Below are 24379 nucleotides of genomic sequence, written 5' to 3' on the forward strand. Positions count from 1 at the left end.
GCGGGCGCTGCTGCAGGTGTGTGCGGCTCAGCCCCTGCCTGGACAGCGCTCCCTCCCCAAGCCTGAGAGTCCCTGCCTCGCGCGCCCCAGGGCCCGAGGTCCCGCTCCCCAATTTCCCCTAGAGATCCGGGTCGCCCCCAAGCGAGGTCTCTTGCTCCACGCCCGCTTCCTTGTGCCAGGGACCCCCACCTCCCTGCATAAAGGCGTGGGGTCCTCTCCAAGTCCCCCTCGCGATCCCACTGGACTTCGAAGTCAGGCTCCTGCCCGCCCACCGCCTCTGTGCCAGGGTCCAACCCCCGCCCCACGGTGCACCCCCCAGGGCCTGGGGTCCCAGTCCCCAAGTACCCCTTGCTATCAGGTGGGCTTTAGGGTCAGGCCCCTGCCCCACCCCCAGCCTCTGTGCCAGGGACAGCTCCACAATCATGCACACCCCAGGGCCTGAGGTCCCTCTCCCCTAGTCTCTCCTAGCTCCCCTCTGGCTGGCTCCCGGCTTTGGGATCAGGCCACCTCCTCCACGCCACCTCCTCCGCCCCACCCAAGGCCACAGACCCGGTCTCTGTGCCCCCAGCCAGAGACCTCTCTACCACAGTGGTGCTTCCATGGCGAGGGCAGGCTCACACCAGCCAGAACCCTCCATGTGGAGCCCCACCCTCTTCTGGGGTGCCTTTCCCCGCAACGGGCGTTGTCCACCTCTAAAGCCACCCTTGCCGGGCGCGGTGGCTCATGCCTGTCATCCCAGCAGTTTGGGAGGCCGAGGCGGGTGGATCACGAGGTCAGGAGTTAGAGACCAGCCTGGCCAACATGGTGAAACCCCCGACTCTACTAAAAATACAAAAATTAGCCAGGCGTGGTGGCGCGCACCTGTAATCCCAGCTACTCAGGAAGCTGAGGCAGGATAATTGCTTGAACCCTGGAGGTGGTGGTTGCAGTGAGTCGAGATTGCACCACTGCACTCCAGCCTGGTTGACAGAGCAAGACTCCTCTCAAAAAAAAAAAAAAAAAAAAAAAATAGCCGCTTTCCCAGCGGCTCTTCCTCCAGCTGTCCTTCGGGGCCTTCCTTGCACCTGTGGGGTTTTTTGTGATAAACCTGTCTGGCTGGGTCTACCTGCCCCCCTCTTCTACCAGACCTGTCCCTGGCTGGCTGTGCAAACTTGGACCGAAGGCAGGGCTCTCTGGGCAGGAGTGGGGCAGCCTGCCCCTTTGCCTAGCAAGGCTTCTCCTCTGTCCCCTCCCCCCGCCTCACACACCCTGGGTCCCCCTCAGCCACTCTTCTAGTCCCTCAGCCACAGCCACCCACTGCTGGGCCCTTCACTTTTGGTGGCTTCTCTGCCCACTTCTTCCAGGCAGGCAGGGTCAGGATCCCCCTGCCTGGAGCCCTTCCCCACCCAAAATCTCTCTCCTGACCCCAGGCTGCATCCAGCCCCACTTCCCCTCCTGGGGTCCTGGACTTCTCTTTCGTGCACGCCCATGCTTGGAATTGTTTTTCTATCTCTCTTTCTTTCTCTCTTTCTTTTTTTCTCTTTCTTTCCTTTTTTTCTTTCTTTCTTCCTTTCTTTCTTTTCTTTTTCTTTCTTTCTCTTTCCTTTCTTTCTCTTTTTTCTTTTCCTTTTCTTTCTTTCCTTTTTTTCTTTCTCTTCCTTTTCTTTTTTCTGTCTTTCTTTCCTTCTTTCTTTTCTTTCTTCTCCTTCCTTCCTTGCTTCCTTCCTTTTCTTTCATCCTTTATTTCGTTCTTCATTTCTTCTTTTCTCTCCCTTCCTTCCTTCCTTCCTTCTTTCTTTCTTTTTTTTTTTTTAGACGGAGTCTCGCTCTGTCACCCAGGTTGGAGTGCAGTGGTGCAGTCTTGGCTCACTGCAAGCTCCGCCTCTGGGTTCACGCCATTCTCCTGTCTCAGCCTCCCGAGTGGCTGGGACTACAGGTGCCTGACGCCACACCCAGCTAATTTTTTGTATTTTTTGTAGAGACAGGGTTTCACCGTATCAACCAGGATTCTCCCTTCCTTCTCTGCTCCCCTCCCCTCTCCTCTCCTTTCCTTTTCTTTCTTTTTCGGACAGAGTCTTGCTCTGTTGCCCAGGCTGGGGTGCAGTGGCTATTCACAGGTGTGACCCCAGGACAGATCAGCATGAGAGCTTTGACCAGCTCCGTCTCTGACTTGGGTAGGTTCAGCCCTCCTTAGGCAACCTGGTGGTCCTCCCAGTCCAGGGAGGTCATCATATTAATGTAGACGCTGGATCAGCATAGCTCACTACAGCTCAGAACTCCCGAGCTCAAGCAATCCTCCCGCCTCAGCCTCCTGAGTAGCTGGGACCACAGGTGTGCACCACCACACCGGGCTACTTTTTGTATTTGTAGAGACAGGGTCCTTTTTGTTGCCCGGGCTAGTCTTGAACTCCTAACCTCAAGCAATCCTCCTGCCTCAGCCTCCCAAACTGCTGGGACTACAGGTGGGTAACACTATGCCCAGCCACTTGCAATTATTAATGGCATTGTCAGCCGGGCGCCGGGCGCGGTGGCTCACGCCTGTCTTCCCAGCACTTTGGAAGTCCAAGGCAGGTAGATCACCTTAGGTTAGGAGTTCTATATCAACCTGGCCAACACGGTGAAACCCTGTCTCTACTAAAAATATGAAATGAGCCGGGTGTGGTGGCGTGAGCCTGTAGTGCCAGCTGCTTGGGAGGCTGAGGCAGGAGAATCGCTTGAACCCGGGAGGTGGAGGTTGCAGCAAGTTGAGATCACACCACTGCACTCCAGCCTGGGCAACAGAGCAAGACTCTGTCTCAAAAACAAACAAACAAACAAAGAAAAAACCCTGTGTCTAATAAACAAATGAATTTATGAATGAATGAAGCAATGAATATTTAATTCTTTCCCAGTTTTGGAGCCTCAGAGTCAAAACTCAAGGTGTGCGCAGGGCCGCGCCCCCTTCAAAGGCTCTGGGGAGCGTCCTTTCTGCCTCTTCCATCTTCTGGGGGCTCTGGGCCTCATCGCTCATTGTGGCCTCATCGCTCATTGTGGCCTCATCGCTCATTGTGGCCGCATCGCTCTGACCTCGGCCTCTGTCTTCACACACCCATGTCTCCCTGTATGTGTCCTGGTTTCCCTCTTCTCATGGGAACAGGAGTCACGGGATGAGAGTCCACCCCCTCCCGTACAACTTTGGCTTAACTTGTCTGCAGAGACCCTCTTTCCAAACAAGGTCCCATTCAGAAGTTGTGGGGTTGAGGACACAGACATCTTTGTGCGGACATGATTCAACCCATAATATACCTCCTTGGTTGTGACAGCCCAGATGCCCACAAACGTGGCCCCTGGGCCCAGAGTCACCTCAGGTGGGAAGCGCTGGTGTAGGTGGTGGCACTATTGTGGTCACCGTGAAATGTGAAATTCTCTCAGGCCCACTCTGCATCTGATGTTTTTTACTTTTTCTTTTCTTTTCTTTTCTTTTTTTTTTGAGACGGAGTCTAGCTCTGTTGCCCAGGCTGCAGTGCAGTGGCACAATCCCAGCTCACTGCAAGCTCCGCCTCCTGGGTTAAAGCGATTCTCCTGCCTCAGCCTCCTGAGTAGCTGGAACTACAGGCATCCGCCAACAAGTCCAGCTAATTTTTGTATTTTTAGTAGAGACGGGGTTTCACCATGACGGTCAGGCTGGTCTTGAACTCGTGACCTCAGGTGATCCGCCCGCCTTGGCCTCCCAAAGTGCTGGGATTACAGCCATGAGCCACCACGCCCGGCCGCGTCTGACATTTTTTCATGGGAGAATGTTGGAAGAAAATCACATAGGAAGGGAGGCATTTTGACCGGGCAGGGTGGGGGTTATGGGAGACAAGAGGAGCCGTGATCATCGCTGATGAAGCCCAGGGGTGGGCCTGGGGGATCCATTGTCTTGCTTAGGATACAGTTTTTTTTTGTTTGTTTTGTGTTTTTGAGAACGGAGTCTTGCTCTGTCACTCAGGATGGAGTGCAATGGCGCCATCTTGGCTCACTGTAAACTCCGCCTCTCAGGTTCAAGAGATGCTCCTGCCTCAGCCTCCTGAGTAGCTGGGATTACAGGTGCCCACCACGCCTGGCTAATGTTGTATTTTTAGTAGAGAAGGGGTTTCTCCGTGTTGGTCAGGCTAGTCTCAAACTCCCGACCCCAGGTGATCCTCCTGCCTAGGCCTCCCAAAGTGTTGGGATTACAGGCGTTAGCCACCGTGTCTGGCCTATTTATTATTATTATTTTTTTGAAGACAGAATCCCTTCACTCTGTCGCCCAGGCTGGAGTGCAGCGGCGTGATCTCAGCTCACTGCAACCTCTTCCTCCCTGGCTCAAGGGATTCTCCTGCCTCAGCCTCACGACTAGCTGGGACTACAGGCACCTACCACCATGCCCAGCTAATTTTCGTGCTTTCTAGTACGTGTTGGCCACACTGGTCTCAAACTCCTGACCTCAAGTGATCTGTCTGCCTAGGCCCTGCAAAGTGCTAAGATTACAGGCGTGTCCCACCTTGCCCAGCCTGTACAAAAAATTTAAAAATTAGCCGGGTCTGATGGCACACACCTATGGTCCCAGCTACTTGGGAGTCTAAAGTGGGAGGATTGCTTGAGCCCGGGAGGCAGAGGTTGCAGTGAGCTGAGATTACGCCACTGCACTCCAGCCTAGGTGACAGAGTGAAATCCTGCTTCAAAACAAAGAAAAAAAAAAAAAAGGCCAGGTGCAGTGGCTCACGCTTGTAATCCCAGCACTTTGAGGGGCCAAGGTGGGGGCAGATCAGTGGATCACCTGAGGTCAGGAGTTCGAGACTAGCCTGGCCAACATGGCAAAACCCCGTCTCTACTAAAAATACAAAAAATTAGCCGGGCGTGGTGGCACATGCCTGTAATCCCAGCTACTTGGGAGGCTGAGACAGAATTGCCTGAACTGGGGAGGCAGAGATTGCAGTGAGCCAAGATCGCACCATTGCATTCCAGCCTGGCGACAAGAGGGAAACCCCATCTCAAAAAACAAAACAAAACAAAACAAAACTCAGAAAGGAAAAGGAAAATGCACAGGGAGAATCCTGTGATGGAGAAGGAAGGCAGGCAGGACAGCAGAGACAGGAGCATTTTATTGCTTGTAAATTACATCTCAAAAAACCCACTTCACACACGTTAACTGGAAATATCTTCAAATGAACGGCCGTGAGCGTGGTTATTTTGGTAACCAGAGAAGGCTAAAAATTAAAACTGTGAAAATTAAAACTGAGCAGGGAAGGCAGTTTTGTGGTCTCATATTATTTGCCCTCAACAAAATTCTTTTGCCCGTGGCCAACATGGTGAAACCCTGTCTCTACTAAAAGTACAAAGATTAGCTGGGTGTGGTGGCGGGCGCCCGTAATCTCAGCTACTCAGCAGGCTGAGGCTGGAGAATCTATTGAACCCGGGAGGAGGAGGTTGCGGTGAGCCAAGTTTGCACCATTGCACTCCAGCCTGGGCAACAAGAGCGAAACTCCATGCCGAAGAAGAAGAAGAAAAAAAAGTACACAATTCTGGTGAGGCACGGTGGCTCATGCCTGTAATCCCAGCACTTTGGGAGGCCGAGGTGGGGGATCACTTGAGGTCAGGAGTTCGTGACCAGCCTGGCTAACATGGTGAAACCCCGTCTCTACTGGGGGTGGTGGCATATGCCTGTAATCTCAGCTACTTGGGAGGCTGAGGAGGGAGAATGGCGTGAACCCAGGAGGCAGAGCTTGCAGTGAGCAGAGATCACACCATTGCACTCCAGCCTGGGTGACAAGAGTGAGACTCCATCTCAAAAAAAAAACTGTGGAACATTATCATTAACTTTTGTGGGTGCCCTTTAGCCATTTCCCCCAGTCCCCATAATCCCCAGTCACTGGCACCCACGTGTCCCCTTCCTGTCTCTGAATCGGCCTGTCCTGGACATTCACACAAATGGGATTGCACGCCGTGTCGGTGTCTGTGTGTCTCTTGCTGAGGGTGGACTCCTCCAGGGGCATCTGCGCCGTGGCCGGTGTCAGAGCCTGGTTCCTGTTCATGGCCGAGTCCTGCTCCATGGTGTGGCCGGGCCGGGCTGTGTTCGTTCATCCCTGGATGGGCACTTGACTTGTTTACACTTTTTGGACCCCTTGAATCTGGAGCGAGTGTGACAGAATCTCACAGGCAGTGCCCAGCCACCCGCTACCAGAAAGCTGAGTCTTGCTCCGGTATGGCCCTGTCCGAAAGAACGTTCCGGAAGCTGGGGGTGTTTTCCATGGGCACCTCCGGGCTCCTGGAGATTTGCTGTGACAGCCATGAGGGACACACACAGGCGAGGGGCATCCCCGGGGATCTTTGCGGTGGCGAGTGTGTGCGGTGGTCAGAAGGGCTGTCCCTGTCTGCCTGGGTCTGGGGGCTGCAGGGACAGCAAGGCACGGGCCCTGGGTGTGGCAGGAGAGGCATGATGCCCCTTAGCTGGTGTTGCTGAGACTCGGGAGCCCTGTGGTCCGTGTGGCTGGGCCGAGGGCTGGGAGGTGCATCCTCGCCACGGGGGTCCTGAGCCTCTCCTCCCTGGTACCCTCTGTGGCGGCAGCGGTGGGGAGCTTGGTCTGAGGGGAGGCGGGGGACACGTGAGGCTCTTGCTGCTGCTGGCAAGTGCCAGAAGGGCTGCCATGGTGGTTCACACCTGTAATCCCGGCAATTTGGGAAGCTGGGGCGGGCGGATCACCTGAGGTTAGGAGTTCCAGACCAGACTGGCCAACATGGTGAAACCCTGTCTCTATTAAAAATACAAAAATTAGCTGGGCGTGGTGGCTACTCGGGAGGCTGAGGCTTGAACCCAGAAGGTGGAGGTTGCAGTGAGCCCAGATCACGCCACTGCACTCCAGCCTGTGCAACAAGAGCGAAAGAAGAGCGAAACTCTTGTCTAAAAAAAAAAAAAGTCCCAGAAGGTCTTGGGGCTGAGACATGGGCGGGGCTGGGGGCAGCCAAGTGGCCTTTGAGGATGGGGCCAGGCACCGCACAGGGCAGGCTGGTCATGAGGCCCCCACGAAAGATCCCAGCATTGGGAGCTCAGGCTTCCCCGCCCCATGCCAGGTCTGGGTTCTGGGGCTGGAGTGTGGAGCCTCGGTGCGCCCAGGGGGTTCAGCCTGAGGGTCTGAGACTTTTCCAGGGCAGGGAATTTGACGAGGGCCTGAGCACTGGGCTGGCCCCTCAGGTGCCCACGCCTACAACTCACTTCTCACCGGGCACGACCTCTAGCAAAGGCCAGTATTGCCTTGGCCTGTGGGGGTCCCCAAGGTTTCAGGGAGAGAGGAAAGGACCCTCAAGCTTCGTCAACAGCGACAGCCCAGGGCCTGGATGGGCTTCCAGTGGGGAGGGCCCTGTGGCAGGGGTAGGGATCATCACATCTCAGACCAAGGCCAGGACATGGCCAGAACCCCGGGATCAGAGGGACTGATCGGGGTCTGTCAGTGACAGGAAGCTGGGCTGCGACAGAGAGGGAGAGACAGCAAGAGACAGAGACAGAGACCGAGGGAGAGAGACAGGAGAGAGAGCAAGAAACAAAGAGGGACAGAGAGGGAGACGGCGCAAGAGAGAGACAAGAGGGAGAGATAGAGACAGGGATAGACAGAGACAGAGAGAGACCAAGGGAGACAGGGACACAGTGGGAGATGGGAAGAGGGAAACAGAGTGTCTCTGAGTGCCGGGCAGATGAGGGGAGGGTGGCCTCCCAGCCTTCAGGTCCAGAAAGCAGCTTCCAGTGGCCATGGCTAGTGAGCTGAAGTCCAGGGTCCCGGGGCACAGCTCCCCTCCCTGCAGCGGCTGTGCAGGACCTGAGGACCTGGGGGGCCCTCCCTGCCAGGCAGCCCCTCCTGCTTCCCTTCCTTTGGAAGGAGCGGTGCTGGGTCTGAGCCCCAGCCCATCTTCCTCACCGGGGCAGCAGGGCCAAGACCCACGATCCCTAGGCTGAGCCAGCGGCACCTCAGGGGGCACGGCCCTTGCCCACAGATGCCCAGGCCGGCCTGGTCTTCTCTGAATACCCCTAAGCCTGACTCTTGGGTTGTGAATGTCCGCGAGGTTGGGGGACCTGCTGGCCCTGTCCCCACACCGCTTTCAGCCTTTCATCACCCAACCAAAGACAGAAGCTCAAACGTGGGCACCAAAGTCTAGCGGACGCACCGAACTCCAGGCTCCAAGCACATCCACCCATGGTGGCTTTATTCAGTCACGTCCCCACGCCCACGGCTCCCTCCACCAGGCAGACAGAGGGGAGGCCACCCCACTGCAAAGGGTCCCAGCCAGTGGGCACCAACCTCAGGAAGACGTGGTCCCCACCTGGAGCTTCCCTCGGCTGCCCTGGCCCTTGAGCCCGTCCTGAGGATTTGTGCTTTGACTCTGACAGGGAGCAGCAGGAAGCTGCCAGCCCACTGCCTCCATGCGGGTCCTTGGAGGGCAGACGGTGGAGCGGCGCTTCCTCAGCTCCCGCGGTCAGGCCCCATCAGGGATGGTCACAGTCCAGCCACAGGGGCGACTCTGCCCATCAGTCCCCCTGGGGCAGCGACCAGATCCTGGCTGGGGCAGCACCGGGACAGGCCCTCTCTATGGGCCTAAGGTCAATGCAGGTGGGGGCTCGCTGGGCCCAGGCCAATGAACCCACCCGTAGGAGCCCTCACTGGGCAGCAGGGCCAGGAGGGCACCAGGGACTGGCCGCAGAGTCCACTCGGGGCAGGCGTCTGTGGCTTGGAACCTGCCCTCGCCAAGGCACTGGGGGGTTAAGGAGCAGATCCCTCAGACGGCCTTGGGCCAGAAGCTCCCTGGAGAGCTGGGCACCTCGAGGAGCGTCTGGGAGCCTCACCCTGTCCCAGTGGCTCCTGGCACCCCTGGGAGCGTCAGCACCACCCCAAAGCTGGGTGCCTGTGTCGCCACTAAACAGAAGGGAAACCGAGGCAGGGGGGCCGGCTGGCAGTGGAGCATTCTGGCAGCGCCGGGCGACCAAGTCCCGACTGGCAGCGGCTGGAGTTTGGTTTTCAGAAGCGAAGGCTGGCGTTGGCACACAGGGAAGGCTGCCCGATGACGTGCCTCGACTGTGTTACATTTACTGAAGGAGAGCGGCCTCCTGGGCATGCCACTCAGGCACGGTGAGGCTCTGTGGCACCACCAGCCGCATGGCAGGGCAGAGAGTGGCGCCGTCCTGCATGCCCCCCACAGCAGACCAGAGTCCCGTCCTCACGCTGCACAGTGGGTGATGTGAGTTTCAAAACTACGCCTCCAGACCGAGAAACCCTCCCAGCTGTCAGCAAGCCGTGGCGCCGAGCTGCCGGGCACCTGCTGGCTGCTCTCCAGTCTCAAGGAGCTGGGACAGCGGGCATGGGGAGGAGCTGGCCTCGAGCCCAAAGGTCGTAGGGAGCCAGGCAGGGCCCAGGAGCACCCGGCACTTCCCGAAGCCGGACTCTGTAGAGGACGAGCGTGGAGGGTCTTTCGGGTGGGGGCAGCCCCAGCTGTGTGCCCCGAGGCCCCGGGAAGTGGGGACGGGCCGAGGAGGGAGCCAGGAGCACGGCCTTCCTCCTGGGTGTCTCCAAGGCTGGGCTTCGCCGCCGAGCCTGGTTCACGTGGGGCCGAGGACCGCGTCTGCAGGCGGCTCCAGCAGGCAGCACGGGCTCTCGGCAGGGCCTCTGGAAAGGACAGGGAGGGCTGGCTTTAGCGACTCCACGGGACGGGGACGCTTGGGCTCTTCTAGGGAGATGGGAAGCTCTTGGGAGGCACCCGTCATCCCAAGCACATCTGTGTTCACCAGGCAGTCCCCACTGCCAGGACCCGACTCCAGGGAGCCCCCGTGGCCCCGCAGCACCTGCCCTAGACGTGCTCCATCTCCGGGTCCGGGTCGGGCTCCTCCTCCTCCTCCTCCTCGTCTTCCTCGTCGTCGTCCTCAGCGCAGGCCTTGTCCAGCGGCGCCTCCCCGTCACGGGCCAGCTCCTCCACGTGCGCCAGCATGTCGGCCATCAGCGCCTCCTCCAGCCGCTTCCGCACCTGCTGCACCAGCTCTTCCTGCTTCCTGGGGACACATGGACCTTGCGTTACACCAAGGTGAGCGGCCAGCAGGACATGGACACAGGATGAACGTGGGGACCTCAGCTGGGAGGGGAGGCCCGAGGGATCCACAGGCACCCCCCCAGGACCAGCCCTGGCCCGTGCCACCCCTCCCTTCACAATCCACGCAGAGAATGACCGGCTGCCGCTGGCCATCGCCAGCGTCCGCCACCCTCCCAGATGGCCCCCCTGCCACCTCTACTGGGACCAAGGGAGGGGCCTGACCCTTCAGTCCCCAGACTTGGCCCTGAGCCTCCCCGGGGCTCAGCTGTGTAAACCCTTGCTCCTGTCCCTTGACAGGCACTGAGTGGGGCAGGAAAACCCTCACCAGGCCAGGTAGAGGCTCATGCCTGTAATCCCAGCACTTTGGGAGGCCGAGGTGGGCAGATCACTTGAGGTCAGGCGTTCGAGACCAGCCTGACCAACATGACGAAACCCCATCTCTACTAAAAATATAAAAATTAGCTGGGCGTGGTGGCGGCCGCCTGTAGTCCCAGCTACTTGGGAGGCTGAGGCAGGAGAATCACTTGAACCCGGGAGGCGGAGGTTGCAGTGGGCTGGGATGGCGCCATTGCACTCCAGCATGGGCAACAGAGCCAGATTCTGCCAAAAAAAAAAAAAAAAAAAAAAAAAAAAGCAAGCCTCACCAAAATCAGCTACCATCAGCCCGCAGCAGCCCCCACCCTCGCAGGCCGGGGGTCACCTTTCCGCTGCCCACTATGCACCAGCGTGTACTCCTTTACCATGGCTCGGGCGGCCTGAGAAAAAGAATCCACACCCTCGTCTCAACCCACCACCAGGGATGGGGGGCCTCCTCCTCGGGGCCTACAAGCTGATGCCAGGCACTCCAGGGTGGCCGCTCCTCTGCCTGCCGCCTCCGGGGCCGCAGCACGTGCTTCTGCCCACCTCCCTCTCCGGCTGCCCAAAGAGCCCGTCTCTGTTCTGCTTTCAGTCCCAGGCAAAGCTGACTTTGTTTCTCCCCAGTTGTGGCCGAGGCTCAGCCGCCCCCTGCCTCCGGGGTCTCTCTCCAGCGGCTCCTGCAGACCTGAGCTGCTCCCTCTCACTCTGTCCCCACCACCCGGAACACCCTGGCTCACCTACTCGACTGCAGCCACCACCTGCTCGTCATCTTTCCAGACAGGACCCTACCTCCTGCGGAACCCACCACCGAGTTCCTCATTTCAATGCCCTTTTCTATTTCTATAAGTTCTTATTTTATTTTTTTAACTCTGTCACCCAGGTTGAATTGCAGTGGCAGGATCTCAACTCCGCCTCCCAGGCTCCAGTGATTCTCCTGCCTCAGCCTCCCGAGTACCTGGGACTACAGGCATGTGCCAAAACACCCAGCTAATTATTTTATTTTTAGTGGAGACGGGGTTTCACCATGTTGGCCAGGCTGGTCTTCAACTCCTGACCTCAGGTGATCCTCCCGCCTCGGCCTCCCAAAGTGCTGGGATTACAGGCGTCAGCCACTGTGCCCGGCCTTATTTCTGCAAGTTCTGCAGGGCTTTTAATGATCTGTCTGCTATTTTTCACAGTCTTGTTCTTTTCTTTTGTTGACAATTCTTCCTATTTCACCATCTTCATTTCGGGAAGTTCTCTGAGCGCGCAGAGAGTGTAAATGGACCTCAAACCCAAAAGAGGGGGCCCAGAGGTACCACGGCCGGAGGAGGATGCCGCCAGCCGCTCCGGATGGAACCCTTGGCGCCCACAGTTTGTGTGCTTGTGGGGGTGGCGTCTCAGGTCCATCTGTTCACCCTGTGTGGGGGCACAGGGTCTCTTCTTGTGCCCAGGGGCCTTTAACCCCGGCTGCTGCCACAGGAAACCCGCATGCCCAGCGCCTCCCTGGCCGTTCCGGGTCTTGGCTCCTTCTTTCTGGAACCGTCAAGTTTCCTTTCCTTCCTCTGACCTAAGCCGTGTGCTGCACTGAACGTGAAAGGTCCCGTCTTCGCTCCAGCACTTCCAGAGTTTCCTGCAGGCGCCTCCGTCACCAGGCGGCCTTGCGTCCACTCTGCACACTGGAAGTGGGTTCGGCCCTGAGGCCCCGCAGGAGGGCCGCTCACCCCTGGGCTGCTCAGCCTCACCTGACTGTTGCCTGTTTCTGAGCGGCCGTGTTCCCTGCTGTTCGTTCCGAGGCTCTGCACATCAGAACTGCCCCTCAGCAGGCACCCAGAGCCATCTCCCTGAAGGCAGAGACTCCTGGCCTGCCCTGTCCCTCCGTCTCCAGGGCCCAACATGGAGCCCAGCACCCAGCATAGCCAGTCCTCACGGACTCAAAGGACCACACTCTTTTCAAGAACATTCCTCCAAGGGGTGCCTGGCTCGCCCTGAACCCAGGACGCGGGTGAAACGGTTCATACTGCTCCGACGATGGGTCCCCTTGCCCTGGCTGTTTCTGTTTCAAAACCCCAGCAGCATCGTGGGGAGACGGGAAGCACGCAGGCACACGGGGACACTCAGGGTCCCCACGGCCACAAGAGACAGGGTGGAGCAGCAGGGGACCAGGCCAAGGGGCTACCTGATGTCCTCGTCGGTCACCATGAAGGCTTTGCACAGGGGCTGCGTGGTGTTGAGCCATACGCCGGGGTTCTTCTCCACGGCGGCCGAGAGCTGTCCCGTGATGGGCATGGTGCTAGTGTGCAGGGCGCTGGCGATGGCCGACAGCAGCGTCTCATCCGTGCAGCCAGGTCCCACCCCTGCCAGGCAGTGGACAAACAGCCGCAAGTGGAGAGGTCACCACGGGGCAGCTGTGGCCCAGACAGGCCACGGAAATGCCCCAAGAATGGGAGCTGCCACCTTCTTGGAAGGAACCCCAACTTGGGTTCCATTTCTAAATTCCCTCTCCCGCTTGTGTTACTACATTCATAACAGAAAAAAAAGCAAGTTAGGCCAGGCGTGGCGACTCCCGCCTGTAATCCCAGCATCTTGGGAGGGCGAGGTGGGAGGACTGATTGAGCTTAGGAGTTTGAGACCAGCCTGGACAACACAGTGAGACTCCTGTCTCTACAAAATAATTCAAAAATTAGCCAGGTGTCACGCTGCATACCTGTGGTCCCAGCTACTCAGGAGGCTGTGCTGAGAGAACCACTTGAGCCCGGGAGGTAGAGGCTGCTGTGAGTAGTAACGGCGCCACTGTACTTCAGCATGGGCCACGGAGAGGCTGCCTTTTGTTTTTGAGATGGGGTCTTGCTCTGTATCTTTTTTTTTTTTTTTTGAGACGGAGTCTCCCTCTGTTGCCCAGGAGAGTGCAGTGGTGCGATCTCGGCTCACTGTAAGCTCCGCCTGCCAGGTTCACGCTATTCTCCTGCCTCAGCCTCCCAAGTAGCTGAGACTACAGGCGGCCGCCACTACACCCGGCTAATTTTTTGTATTTTTAGTAGAGACAGGGTTTCACCATGTTAGCCAGGATGATCTCGATCTCCTGACCTCATGATCCGCCCGCCTTGGCCTCCCAGAGTGTTGGGATTACAGGCGTGAGCCACTGCACCTGGCCTTGCTCTGTATTTTCTGTAGAGATGGGGTCTCACTATGTTGTCCAAGCTGGTCTTAAACTTCTGAGATCAAGTGAAACTCCTGCCCCAGCCCCGCCAAGTGCTGGGATTATAGGTGTGAGCCACTGTACCCAGCCGACCCTGTCTCAAAAAACAACCACCAAAACCATGCAAGAGCTGCATTCTTTGTTCTGTGGTGTGGACGTGCTGGGAGAGTACAGAAGCAAAGTCAGCTGTCCTTGTTTGTTTATTTAGGATCTCCATGGCAAAACTGCACGTCCTGCAGGTGAAAACAGCCCCAGGCCTGCGCCACACCTGGAAGCCACAAAGCCCCACCCGCAGGGTCTCCAAGGTCAAGAATGAAGGGCCCAGCCCAAGCGCCCTTACCCATCCCCAACCCCACTGGGTCCCCTCCTCCTGCCCCAGTCGCTGGCAGATTTGCCCTAAGCACCCAAAGCAGGAACAGCCATCCACCCTGCCAGGAGATGAGGGCACCTGCAGCACCTCCACCCCACCCGGCACATCCCCTTCCGCCTCCCCTCAGGGTGCCCGCTCACCCTGCAGGCCCTTGGGGAGGTCCATGGTCTTGACCAGCTCCTCAGCAATGTCGAAGGCGTTCAGGCCGCTCAGCTTCTTCTCCCAGAAGAGCTGCCCCAGACACATATGTGAACCTCAAGAGTGGCCCTGCCCTCTCCCCACTCCAGGTCCTTGCTGGGCTCCAGGGAGGCCCACCTGGCCTCCTTGCCCCATGTGGGTCCCAATGGGGCATCTCCCCTCCCACTGCCTTGGGTCTCCAGACCCTGCCCAGGCTTTCCACAGCCAGGGATCCAGTGGACGTTTGTAAATAAGAATAAAAAATACACATGGGGTGGCTCACGCCTGTAATCCCAGCACTTTAGGAGGCCGAAGTGGGTGGATCACCTGAGGTCAGGAGTTTGAGACCAGCCTGGTCAACATGGTGAAACCCCTTATCTACTAAAAATACAAAAAAAAGTCCGGTGTGGTGACGGGCGCCTGTAATCCCAGCTACTTGGGAGGCTGAGGCAGGAGAATCACTTGAACCCAGGAAGTGGAGGTTGCAGTGAGCTGAGACCGCACCATTGCACTACAGCCTGGACAACAAGAGCAAAACTCCATCTCAAAAAAGAAAAAAAAAAAAAAAAATTAGCCGTGCATTGTGACGGGTACCTGAAATCCCAGCTACTTGTGAGGCTGAGGTGGAAGGATCACTTGAACCCAGTTGAAACCAGGAGGCAGAGGTTGTAGTGAGTTAAGATCCTGCCACTGCACTCCAGCCTGGGTGACAGAGCGAGACTCTGTCACAAAAAAAAAAAAAAAAAAAAGAAAAAACAAAAAGAAAATACACACGGTTCTCAGGTTTTTAAGAAGTAGGTTACACAGTCACATATGGGCAGTCAACCCCCTGTATCTGTGGGTTCCATAACCACACACCCAACCAGCGGCAGACTGAAAATATTTGGGGGGAAAAAAAATAAATAAATACAACAACTGGCCAGGTGAGTTGGCTCACACCTGTAATCCCCACAGTTTTGGAGGCCAAGGTGGGAGGATCACTTGAGGCCAGGAGCCTGAGACCAGCCTGGGCAACATACAGAAACCCTGTCTCGAAAGTGAAAAACTTAAAAAAATGAATAAAACACACACAAGGAACGTCACAAGCATCCACACCTCATGAGCAAGCTAGAAAATACCTGCAGGTAACGTGCAAACATTAGACCATTTCCATTTTTTAAAAATATTTTTATTTTATTTTTGAGACCGGGTCTCGCTCTGTCGCCCAGGCAGGAGTGCAGTGGTGTCATCTCGGCTCACTGCAACCTCCACCTCCCGGGTTCAAGTGATTCTCCTGCCTCAGCCTCCCGGGTAGCTGGGATTACAGGCGCACACCACCACGCCCAGCTAATTTTTGTATTTTTAGTAGAGACGGGGTTTCACCATGTTGGGTCAGCCTGGTCTCAAACTCCTGACCTCTCAGGTGATCCACCTGCCTCGGCCTCCCAAAGTGCTGGGATTACAGGCGTGAGTCACCGCGTGAGGCCATACTAGACCATTTTCTGAGGGGCCTGAACATCCCCAGATTTTGGTATCTGGGGGTTGAGGGTGGGGCGTATCCTGGCACCAATACCCTGCACATTCCAAGAGGGGACCGCAGGACTGGGTCTTGCTCTGCCCCCAGGCTGGAGTGCAGTGGTGTGATCATAGCTCACTGCAGCCTCAGCCTCCTGGGCTCAAGCAATCCTCCCACCTCAGCCTCCCCAGAAGCTGGGACCACAGGCGGGCGCCACCACGTCCAGCTAATTTTTTACTTGTTTTTTGCCTCGTCATGTTGCCCAGGCTAGCCTGGAACTCCTGCGCTCACTACGTCCGCTCCACGTACGACCTCATTCCAAACGTCCACCCACCAAAGTGAACAACCCGGCCGGGAAGGCTGGGGTCGCTGTGCGTTGAGCTCACCTGGCGCGGCTGGTCCACCGCCTTCTGCGGGTCGCTCTTGACCTTGTTGCTGGGGTGGTTGGTAATCTTGGTCACCGGCTGCTTGAAGATGGACGCCGTCTGGCGCACGGGCAGCGCCGTGTTCAGGTCGGGCTTGCCCTGCGGGAGGAAGGATATGCAGTCCGGCCTGGGGGCGCCCCGGCGGCGCGGAGCCTCAGGGGGTGCGGGGCCCGGGTGACCCCCTGCTTTGCCGGCGCCCCTCGTGTCCCCCGCGCCCGCCAGGACCCCCACGGTCCGGGGAGGCCGCTCCCGCAGGGTCGGTCCGGCCGGCTCTGGAACGCCCGCCGCGGGCCGCGTCCTCGCCATGCGCCTTGCGCTCTGCACCCTGTGGCCTGCGCCTTCCGCTCTGTGCCCTCCGCCCGCTGTGACCTCCTGCGCTCAGGACGCCGGGCTGTGTCGCCTGCAGCTCACGTCATGGCCGCGTCCCCGCCTAGAACGCCCCGCGCCGACGTCACCTGCGTGACGCCACCACTCACCTTGACCTGGTTGGAGGAGTCGTAGCGCACGCGCTGGCGGCTCTTGTTCATCTTGCTCATCAGCATCTTGCCCGTGCGGAAGTCGAAGGTGCTCAGGTCCATGGAGCCGCCCAGGTAGCGCGCCAGCTGCGGCTTGCTGCGGAACTTCTTCCCGCTCGGGCTGCGGGGAGGCGGGACGGTCGGCGCCCCGGGCGGACCCCAGACCCCAAACCCAGGCCTCGGCCGCAGACCCAAACCCAGTCCCAGCCCCAGCTTCAGGTCGCGACCCCAGCCCCAGACCCCAACACGGCCCTGACCCCAAACCCAGGCAGGCCCTGGCCCCAGCCCCAGACCCCAACCCTGGCGTGACCCCAGACCTTCATCCCAGACCCCAGCACCCCACAACTGGCCCCTAGATCTGGGCGCCAGCCAGACCCAGAGCACTGGCCCCGATCCTCACACCCTGGCCCTAGCCCCAGCCTCCACATCGGATCCTTGCTCCAGACCCCCAACCCCGGTCCCCTCTGAATCCTCCCCACCGTAGGCCCTGGCAGCGTCAGGCACAGCAGACGCTGAGTTCGGGTACAAACGCTACTACCTACAGGGCTTTGGGCCCCGGCTCTGGGAGGATGGCTCACATGTCCAGAACATTCCAGACATGGAATTTAGGTCACATTCTTGAGAAAAGACCCCACGGAGAACAGGTATGTGAGGGACAGCCCTAAAAGCAATCTTCTTCCACCTTGGGGTTACAGCAGCAGGGCCAGACTGGGAAGGGGTCTCGTTCTAAGATCTGGGGCCAGGCCCTAACAGCTGCTTGGGCATAACCCGACTGGAGAGCTCGCAACAAGGCAGCCAGGTAAACACAGACCTGCTCTCAGACACGGGGCTCTGCTCTCAGCCTGCCATGGACAAGCGCCGGCAACTCATCCTCTCCAGGACATAAGGACACCCACCAATGGGTTGCCCTGTGTGTCACATGAGGTCACACTACAGGATGACAAGCACCCAACCCAACACACCGTCATCATGGTTGGGATGTAAGATGGAACAGCCATGTTGGAAAAGCCTGACAGCTCTTCACTGAGTTTCCAGATGACCCGGCCACGCCACTCTTAGGTATCTGCCCGAAAAATGAGCACGCATCCACACCATCACTTCTACACGGATGTCCCCAGGAGCCAGAAGGTGGAAGCAGCCCAGACGCCTTCAATGGATGAACGGACAAACGCCCATCCACACGATGGGACATACTCAGCCATGAAAAGGAGCGAGGCTCTGACACAGGCCACAGCGTGGATGCACCTTGAGGACGCCACATTCAGTGAGAGACGCCAGACACAAAAGGCCACACAGTGTGTGATCCCATTTCTAAGAAATGTCTAGAACAGGATAATTCAGAGACAGGAAGGGGACGCGTAGTGCCAGAGGCTGGGGTGCAGGATGTGGAGTGGCTGCTGATAGGGACAGGACTTCGTTTCTCTCTTTCCTTTTGGAGATAGGGTCTCACTCTTGCCCAGGCTGGAATGCAATGGCTCAATCACAGCTCACTGCAACCTTGAACTCCTGGGCTAGGGTGATCCTTCCACCTTAGTCTCCCAAGTAGCTAGGACGACAGGCACAAGCCACCACGCCTAATTTTTTTTTTTTTGAGATGGAGTCTCACTCTGTCGCCCAGGCTGGAGTGAAGTGGCTCGATCTTGGCTCTCTGCAACCTCCACCTCCCAGGTTCAAGTGATTCTCCTGCCTGAGCCTCCTGAGTAGCTGGGAGTACAGGTGCCCGCCACCACACCTGGCTGATTTTTGTATTTTTAGTAGAGACCAGGTTTCACTGTGTTGGCCAGGCTGGTCACGAACTCCTGACCTCAGGTGATCTGTCCGCCTCAGCCTCCCAAAGTGCTGGGATTACAGGTGTGAGTCACCGTGCCCGGCCTAATTTTTTTTTTTTTTAAGACGGAGTCTCGCTCTGTCACCCAGGCTAGAGTGCAGTGGTGCGATCTTGGCTCACTGCAACCTCCGACTTCCGGGTTCACACCATTCTCCTGACTCAGCCTCCCGAGTAGCTGGGACTACAGCTGCCCACCACCACGCCCGGCTAATTTTTTATATTTTTAGTAGAGGTGGGGTTTCACAGTGTTAGCCAGGATGGTCGCGACCTCCTGACCTCATGATCTGGCTGCCTTGGCCTCCCAAAGTGCTGGGATTACAGGCGTGAGCCACCGCGCCCAGCCAATTTTTATATTTTTTTAATAGAGATAGGGTCTCACCATGTTACCCAGGCTGGTCTGGAACTCCTGAGCTCAAGCAGTCCTCCCATCTTCCCTCCCAAAGCTTTGGGATTAAAGGTGAGTCATCACGCCCTGCTGCTTCATTTCTTTTTTTTTTCATTTTTACTTTTAGATCCAGGGTCTCCTTGTGTCGCCCAGGCTGGAGTGCAGTGGTGTGATCACAGCACACTGCAGCCTTGACCTCCTGGACTCAAGGGATTGTCCTGCCTTGGCCTCCTGAGGAGCTAGGACTACACGTGTGCACCACCATGCCCAGCTAATTTTTAAATTTTTTGCATAGATGGGGACTCGCTATGTTGCCCAGGTTGGTCTCCAACTTACGATCTCAAGAGATCCTCCTGCCTCGACCTCCCAAAGGGATTATAGGCGGCAGCCACTATGCCTGGCTGGTGTCTTTTATCTTGATAAAATCATTTAGAAATAATAGCACTTGTATGGTGCTTACTAGGCCAGGTACCTCAAACATATTATGTCTACAAACTCAGTCAACAGTCACTTTTATTAATAATGCATCAGCCTGAGATTGGTGGGTAGCTCTGTTTTGCTGTTTTCCCGTTTTCCCAGAATCCTCTAGGGCAGTCTCCTCCTGTCCTCTTCTGCCCCTGCCCCAGACGTCCTGGCCCATGGCAGATGCCAGATGTCAGACAACTGAGACAGCTCAGAAGAATCTCCCATAGCCAGAAGGAAACTCAATTCTGCAGGCACTGCACAGAAATGCTTGGTCCCATGCTTAGCTCAATCGCCTCTATCCAGGATCTATGTACTGGGCCGATACATAGATCACAGGAAGTTTTATTTCTCTCCACCCCTGCCCCCCAACCCCGGGCAAATTCCATGGTCCACAAGGACACGGGCAGGCTCCAGCATGTCCAGTAGGACAGGACGCCTCAGGGAGGGCACGAGGACAAGTGCCTGGGGGTCTGAAACCACTGAGGGCTCTTCCCGGAGATTTACTTTTGAGACTTAACTCTTTTAATTACTCTCTGGACTGGCTGACGTTCAGTCGAAGCTGGTTTGCCCAGGGCAGTGGAAAGAAACCAAGAAACCAGAGGCTGAGACTCAGGCTTCATGTAGCCACAAGGAAGGAAGAAGAGACCCCACAAAACACTCCCAACAGCTCTTTGCCTCCGGTCACCCCAAAGAGAGGCCGTTCTGCCTTTTAAGATGAAGGGAAACAAGGCCGGGCGCGGTGGCTCACGCCTGTAATCACAGCACTTTGGGAGGCTGAGGTGGGTGGATTGCCTGAGCTCAGGAGTTCGAGACCAGCCTGGGCAACATGGTGAAACCCGTTTCTACTAAAATACAAAAAATTGGCCGGGCACAGTGGCACGTGCCTATAGTCCCAGCTACTCGGGAGGCTGACGCAGAATTGGGTTGAACCCAGGAGGCAGAGGTTGCAGTGAGCCGAGATCATGACACTGCACTCCAGCCTGGGCGACAGAGCAAGACTGTGTCTCCAAAAAAAAAAAAAAAAAAAAAAGGTGTAAGGCGAACAAGAGACACACACAGACCACAGCCTGGTTGTTAAGACTGGGGGTGGGCGCACAAGGCAGTGGTAAATGGGCCTGGGGTTCTTTCTAGGGTGATGGAAATTCTAAAATTGAATCTGAGGATAGCTGCCTATATCCGTAAATATGTGAATATGCTGAAAAACCATTGACTCGTGCACTTTAAATGACTGTATTGTATGGTACATAAAACTGTATCTCGATAACACCTTCTCAAAAAGAATAAATGCAGTGGCTCACACCTGTAATCCCAGCACTTTGGGAAGCAAAGGAGGGCCAATCACCTGAGATCAGGAGTTCGAGACCAGCCTGACCAACATGGTGAAACCCCATCTCGACTAAAAATACAAAAGTAGCCGGGCGTGGTGGCACATGCCTGTAATCCCAGCTAGCTGGGAGGCCGAGGCAGGAGAATTGCTTGAACTCAGGAGGTGGAGGTCGCAGTGAGCCCAGATTGCAGCATTGCACTGCAACATTGCACTCTAGCCTGGGCAACAAGAACGAAACTCGGTCTCAAAAAAAAAAAAAAAAAAAAAAAAGAAGGCAGGCGCAGTGGCTTTCATCTGTAATCCCAGCACTTTGGGAGGCCAAGGAGGGCAGATCACCTGAGGTCAGGAGTTCAAGACCAGCCTGGCCAACATGGTGAAACCCCGTCTCTATTAAAAATATAAAAATTAGCTGGGGGTTGTGGTGGGGGCCTGTAATCCCAGCTACTCAGGAGTCTGAGGCAGGAGAATCGCTTGAACTCAGGAGGTGGAGGCTGCAGTCAGCCGAGATTGCACCACTGCATTCCACCCTGGGTGACAAAGCGGGACTACTTCTCAAAATAAATAAATAATAATGAACATAAAAAATTAGCTGGGCATGGTGGCACATGCCTGTAGTCCCAGCTATGCTGGAGGCTTAGGAGGCAGGATCGCTTGAGCCCAGGAGGTCAAGGAATGCAGTGAGCTGTGACTGCACCACTGCACTCCAGCCTGGGTGACAGAACAAGACCCTGTCTCACAATGAATAAATGAATGAATGAATGCAAATGCAAGATAGAGGGGGTTAGTGGTTACCAGGGGCTGGGGGAGTAACAAGTGGGGAGTGACTGCTAATGAGGACAGAGCTGCTTTTCAGGGTGATGAGAATGTTCTGGAATTAGATAGCGGTGATGGTTGCACAACTTTGTCAATGTACTAAAAACCACTGGGGGCCGGGTGTGGTGGCTCAGGCCTGTAATCCCAGCACTTTGGGAGGCTGAGGTGCTGGGGTCAGGAGTTCGAGACCAGTCTGGCCAACATGGCGAAACCCCTTCTCTACTAAAAATACAAAAATTAGCCGGGCATGGTGGCAGACGCCTGTAATCCCAGCTACTCGGGAGGCTGAGGCAGAAGAATCGCTTGAACCCGGGAGGTGGAGGTTGCAGTGGGCTGGGATTGCGTCACTGCACTGTGGCCTGGGCCAAGAGTGAAACTCCATCTCCAAAAAAAAACCCCACTGAATTGTACATTTCTAAAAAGTGGCTTTGGCCAGGCAGTGGCTCATGCCTGTAATCCCAGCACTTTGGGAGGCTGAGGCGGGTTAACTGCTTGAGTCCAGGAATTCGAGACCAGTCTAGTCTAGGCAACACAGCAAAACCCCATCTCTATAAAAATAAGCCAGGTATGGTGGCACGTGCCTGTAATTCCCACTACTTGGGAGGCTGAGCTGAGAGGGTCGCCTGAGCCTGGGAGGTCAAGAATGCGTAAGCCGTGATTGTACCACTGCACTCCAGCCTGGGTGAGACCCTGTCTCAAAGAAAAAAAACAAAAAAGGTAGCTTTTGTGGAATGTGAATTATATCTCAATTTTAAATAAAGGTTATGCCCATCTATTGACACAAAATGATGTCCCTGAGATTTTATTCAATGAAAAAAGAACAGCCTTGATAAAACCACACGTATAGAAAAAAGTGGGCAACATGGCCTGAACTCTCCCCAGGCACCCCCAACAGAAAACGCAGTCTGGGAGCCTGCAGCCTCAGATGAAGGGCTGGGTTGAGGCCCCAGACCTGCAGAGGGCGGCTCTGGGCTGCCTGGCTTCACCCTCTGCAGAGAAACCTGAAATCTCTAGCCTGTAGAGGAGCTTCTCCCTGCTTTTCTCCACTGCTAGACCCTCATGCTCAGGGCCAGGGCCCAGAGTGGGAATGAGAGAGGTGGGGTGATGACAGCCTCAGGATACTCCGCTCAAGCTGGCCTTGGTTCTAGCTCCCAAGCTGCAGCCACCTCTTAGGGGGTTCCTGCTGCCTGGACGCCTCTCCCTGTCACTCAATGTCACGTCCTCAGAGAAGCCCTCCCTGACCCCAGTCTCATTCAGGCCCCGTCATCTGCCCTCCCAGATTTCAGCATGTGTCACTGCAGATCTCAGGACGTGTACAGGGTTCCAGCTCATAAGGGTACACATTTGGGGACCAAGTTTCCCCTCTCTTGCTGTCCTCCAACTTTCCAGGAACCAGTCCCTGAGCTCCTCCTGCAGGACGAGGCCCCACACATTGCTTCTGATCACAGCCATCCTTTCCCCGCTCACTTTTCTCACTTTATCTCCCCAAACCGGGACAGTCAAGAACCACAGAGGACCGAAGTGCACAGTGGACGGAGCGGTCGTTCTGCCCCTCCTTGGCTCGTGGAAACCACCCGCCCTCACCTGGGCGGTCTCCTGCCCACGACCCCGAGCTGTGGGAAAAAGGGGGACCAGCCGCACACCCCCCTTTACCCAGGTGCTCGGCACATGGCAGGCGTCCTCCGCTTTCCCCTCCTGGGGGACCTGAAGGCGCCACGGGACACTGAACCAAGGGGAGGGCGCAATCAAAGCTGGCCCAGAATCAAAAGCATCTTTCCCGAGCCAGGAAAAAAAAAAAAAAGAGGACAAACAGCAGGTGGCCGACTGTCTGGGACTTGGCTGCAGCAGGCGACTAAGTCTTTGTTCCACGGAGGGGGTTCCCTGCGACCTTTCAGAGCAGCGCCTTGTTCCAATTTGGGGACGGGGGGGTCTCTGAAAGCCTTCCACCACCAGTAACATCCACGCAAAGACTACCGTTAGGTGGGCTCGGAAAGTCGAAAGCCTCAGGTCTCCACCCTGAGGGGGCCACGACCCAAGAGGACCAGAGGCCTCGGAAGGAGTCAAGGGGAATACCTTTAAAAAAAGCAACGCTGCGTGGGAGACCAGTCACCCTGAGGCGCTTATTCCCAGGACTGGGGCGAGCCCAAGAACCCGTATTTTCACGCACGCCCTCCCCGATCCGCCCATGAGCCCTGCTCCCCGAAATCCCGGCTGGCCACCCCCTCGGGCTCCGCGCCACCCCAGGAGCGCCCCAAGAAGGCACCCCCTGCGTCTCACGGGAACCAAAGGGACAGCCCACCCTCCACCCCTGCCCCCCGGTAGCATCTGGCCGCCGCCAGGCGCCCCTGGCCCAGCGCGCACGAACAAAGGCCGCAGTCGCCGTCCGGCAGCCAGTCCCTGAACGGCCGGCCGAAAGCCATGCGGCCCAACAAGCGGCGCACGCGCACTGGGCCTCCGCGCGCCGGGCGCACACGCACGCAAGACGCACGCACGCACGCACGACGCACGCGCGGGGCCCAGGCCGCGGCCCGGGGCAGGGGCGCCGAGGCCGCCGCAGAGGCCGCTGGGAGGAGCCCGTTGAGGCCCTGCGCGGCCGGCGCGCTCATTCACCTATAGTAAAAGACATCCCTGTGGCCGGCCGACAGCCCCGACCTTCTGGGCACTTCTTCCCTCTCCCAGCCCTGCGGGAGCGCCGGGCACTCCCACCTCTTCCGCTCCATTGCGCCCGGCTCCTCGGCCCGCCGCCGGGCCCGCCGCCGCCGCCCGGACCCCCACTCGCCGCCGCCGCCTCAGCTGCCTCCGCTGCCGCTGCCGCCGCCGCCACTTGCCGCGGCTGTTCCGGCCCGCGGGCCCCCGCCCTCCGCCCCCAGCCGGGCGCGCGCCGGCTTTGCCGCCCTTTCGGCCCCCTCCCCGCGCTCGCCAGCCCCCGCTCGGGGGGCCCGCTCCGCCCACCCGCCCGCGCGGGGCCCCGCGCTGCGCAGCCGCGGCGCCATGCCC

General features: G+C 57.3%; 1 protein-coding gene and 1 pseudogene across 3 annotated transcripts, besides 7 other annotated features; both read right to left on the minus strand.

The window, feature by feature from the left end:
* Positions 26-75: a silencer, noted in NCBI's record as "silent region_9729". NCBI's record gives its function as "represses an Ori minimal core promoter by ATAC-STARR-seq in GM12878 lymphoblastoid cells {active_cell/tissue: GM12878}" and the evidence as "EXISTENCE:reporter gene assay evidence [ECO:0000049][PMID:35858748]".
* On the minus strand, positions 2046-2331 carry RN7SL477P (RNA, 7SL, cytoplasmic 477, pseudogene; annotated as a pseudogene).
* MBD3 (methyl-CpG binding domain protein 3) lies at positions 5067-24336 on the minus strand. 3 transcript variants are annotated; one of them, NM_001281454.2, is made up of 7 exons: positions 24089-24336; positions 16526-16685; positions 16011-16148; positions 14093-14183; positions 12563-12740; positions 9806-10009; positions 5067-9629 (listed from the first exon to the last, which is right to left on the minus strand). In NM_001281454.2, exons 1-6 carry the CDS (start codon positions 24100-24102, stop codon positions 9811-9813), a joined length of 780 nt encoding a protein of 259 aa, NP_001268383.1. In that variant the 5' UTR covers positions 24103-24336; the 3' UTR covers positions 5067-9629; positions 9806-9810. The 3 variants fall into 3 exon arrangements, with proteins under 3 accessions (NP_001268383.1, NP_001268382.1, XP_047294895.1); NM_001281453.2 differs by having other exon boundaries at positions 23993-24336; XM_047438939.1 differs by having other exon boundaries at positions 8149-10009; positions 23993-24336.
* Positions 15779-16390: an enhancer, noted in NCBI's record as "H3K27ac hESC enhancer chr19:1584307-1584918 (GRCh37/hg19 assembly coordinates)". NCBI's record gives its function as "activates a minimal SCP1, AML or CMV promoter by ChIP-STARR-seq in naive H9 embryonic stem cells {active_cell/tissue: H9 hESC(naive)}" and the evidence as "EXISTENCE:reporter gene assay evidence [ECO:0000049][PMID:30033119]".
* Positions 16391-17001: an enhancer, noted in NCBI's record as "H3K27ac hESC enhancer chr19:1584919-1585529 (GRCh37/hg19 assembly coordinates)". NCBI's record gives its function as "activates a minimal SCP1, AML or CMV promoter by ChIP-STARR-seq in primed H9 embryonic stem cells {active_cell/tissue: H9 hESC(primed)}" and the evidence as "EXISTENCE:reporter gene assay evidence [ECO:0000049][PMID:30033119]".
* Positions 22360-23349: an enhancer, noted in NCBI's record as "NANOG-H3K27ac-H3K4me1 hESC enhancer chr19:1590888-1591877 (GRCh37/hg19 assembly coordinates)". NCBI's record gives its function as "activates a minimal SCP1, AML or CMV promoter by ChIP-STARR-seq in naive H9 embryonic stem cells {active_cell/tissue: H9 hESC(naive)}" and the evidence as "EXISTENCE:reporter gene assay evidence [ECO:0000049][PMID:30033119]".
* Positions 23587-23686: a silencer, noted in NCBI's record as "silent region_9730". NCBI's record gives its function as "represses an Ori minimal core promoter by ATAC-STARR-seq in GM12878 lymphoblastoid cells {active_cell/tissue: GM12878}" and the evidence as "EXISTENCE:reporter gene assay evidence [ECO:0000049][PMID:35858748]".
* Positions 23827-24126: a silencer, noted in NCBI's record as "silent region_9731". NCBI's record gives its function as "represses an Ori minimal core promoter by ATAC-STARR-seq in GM12878 lymphoblastoid cells {active_cell/tissue: GM12878}" and the evidence as "EXISTENCE:reporter gene assay evidence [ECO:0000049][PMID:35858748]".
* Positions 24287-24336: a silencer, noted in NCBI's record as "silent region_9732". NCBI's record gives its function as "represses an Ori minimal core promoter by ATAC-STARR-seq in GM12878 lymphoblastoid cells {active_cell/tissue: GM12878}" and the evidence as "EXISTENCE:reporter gene assay evidence [ECO:0000049][PMID:35858748]".

The sequence above is a fragment of the Homo sapiens genome, chromosome 19 (genome assembly GCF_000001405.40).
Source record: "Homo sapiens chromosome 19, GRCh38.p14 Primary Assembly".
NCBI lineage: Eukaryota > Metazoa > Chordata > Mammalia > Primates > Hominidae > Homo > Homo sapiens.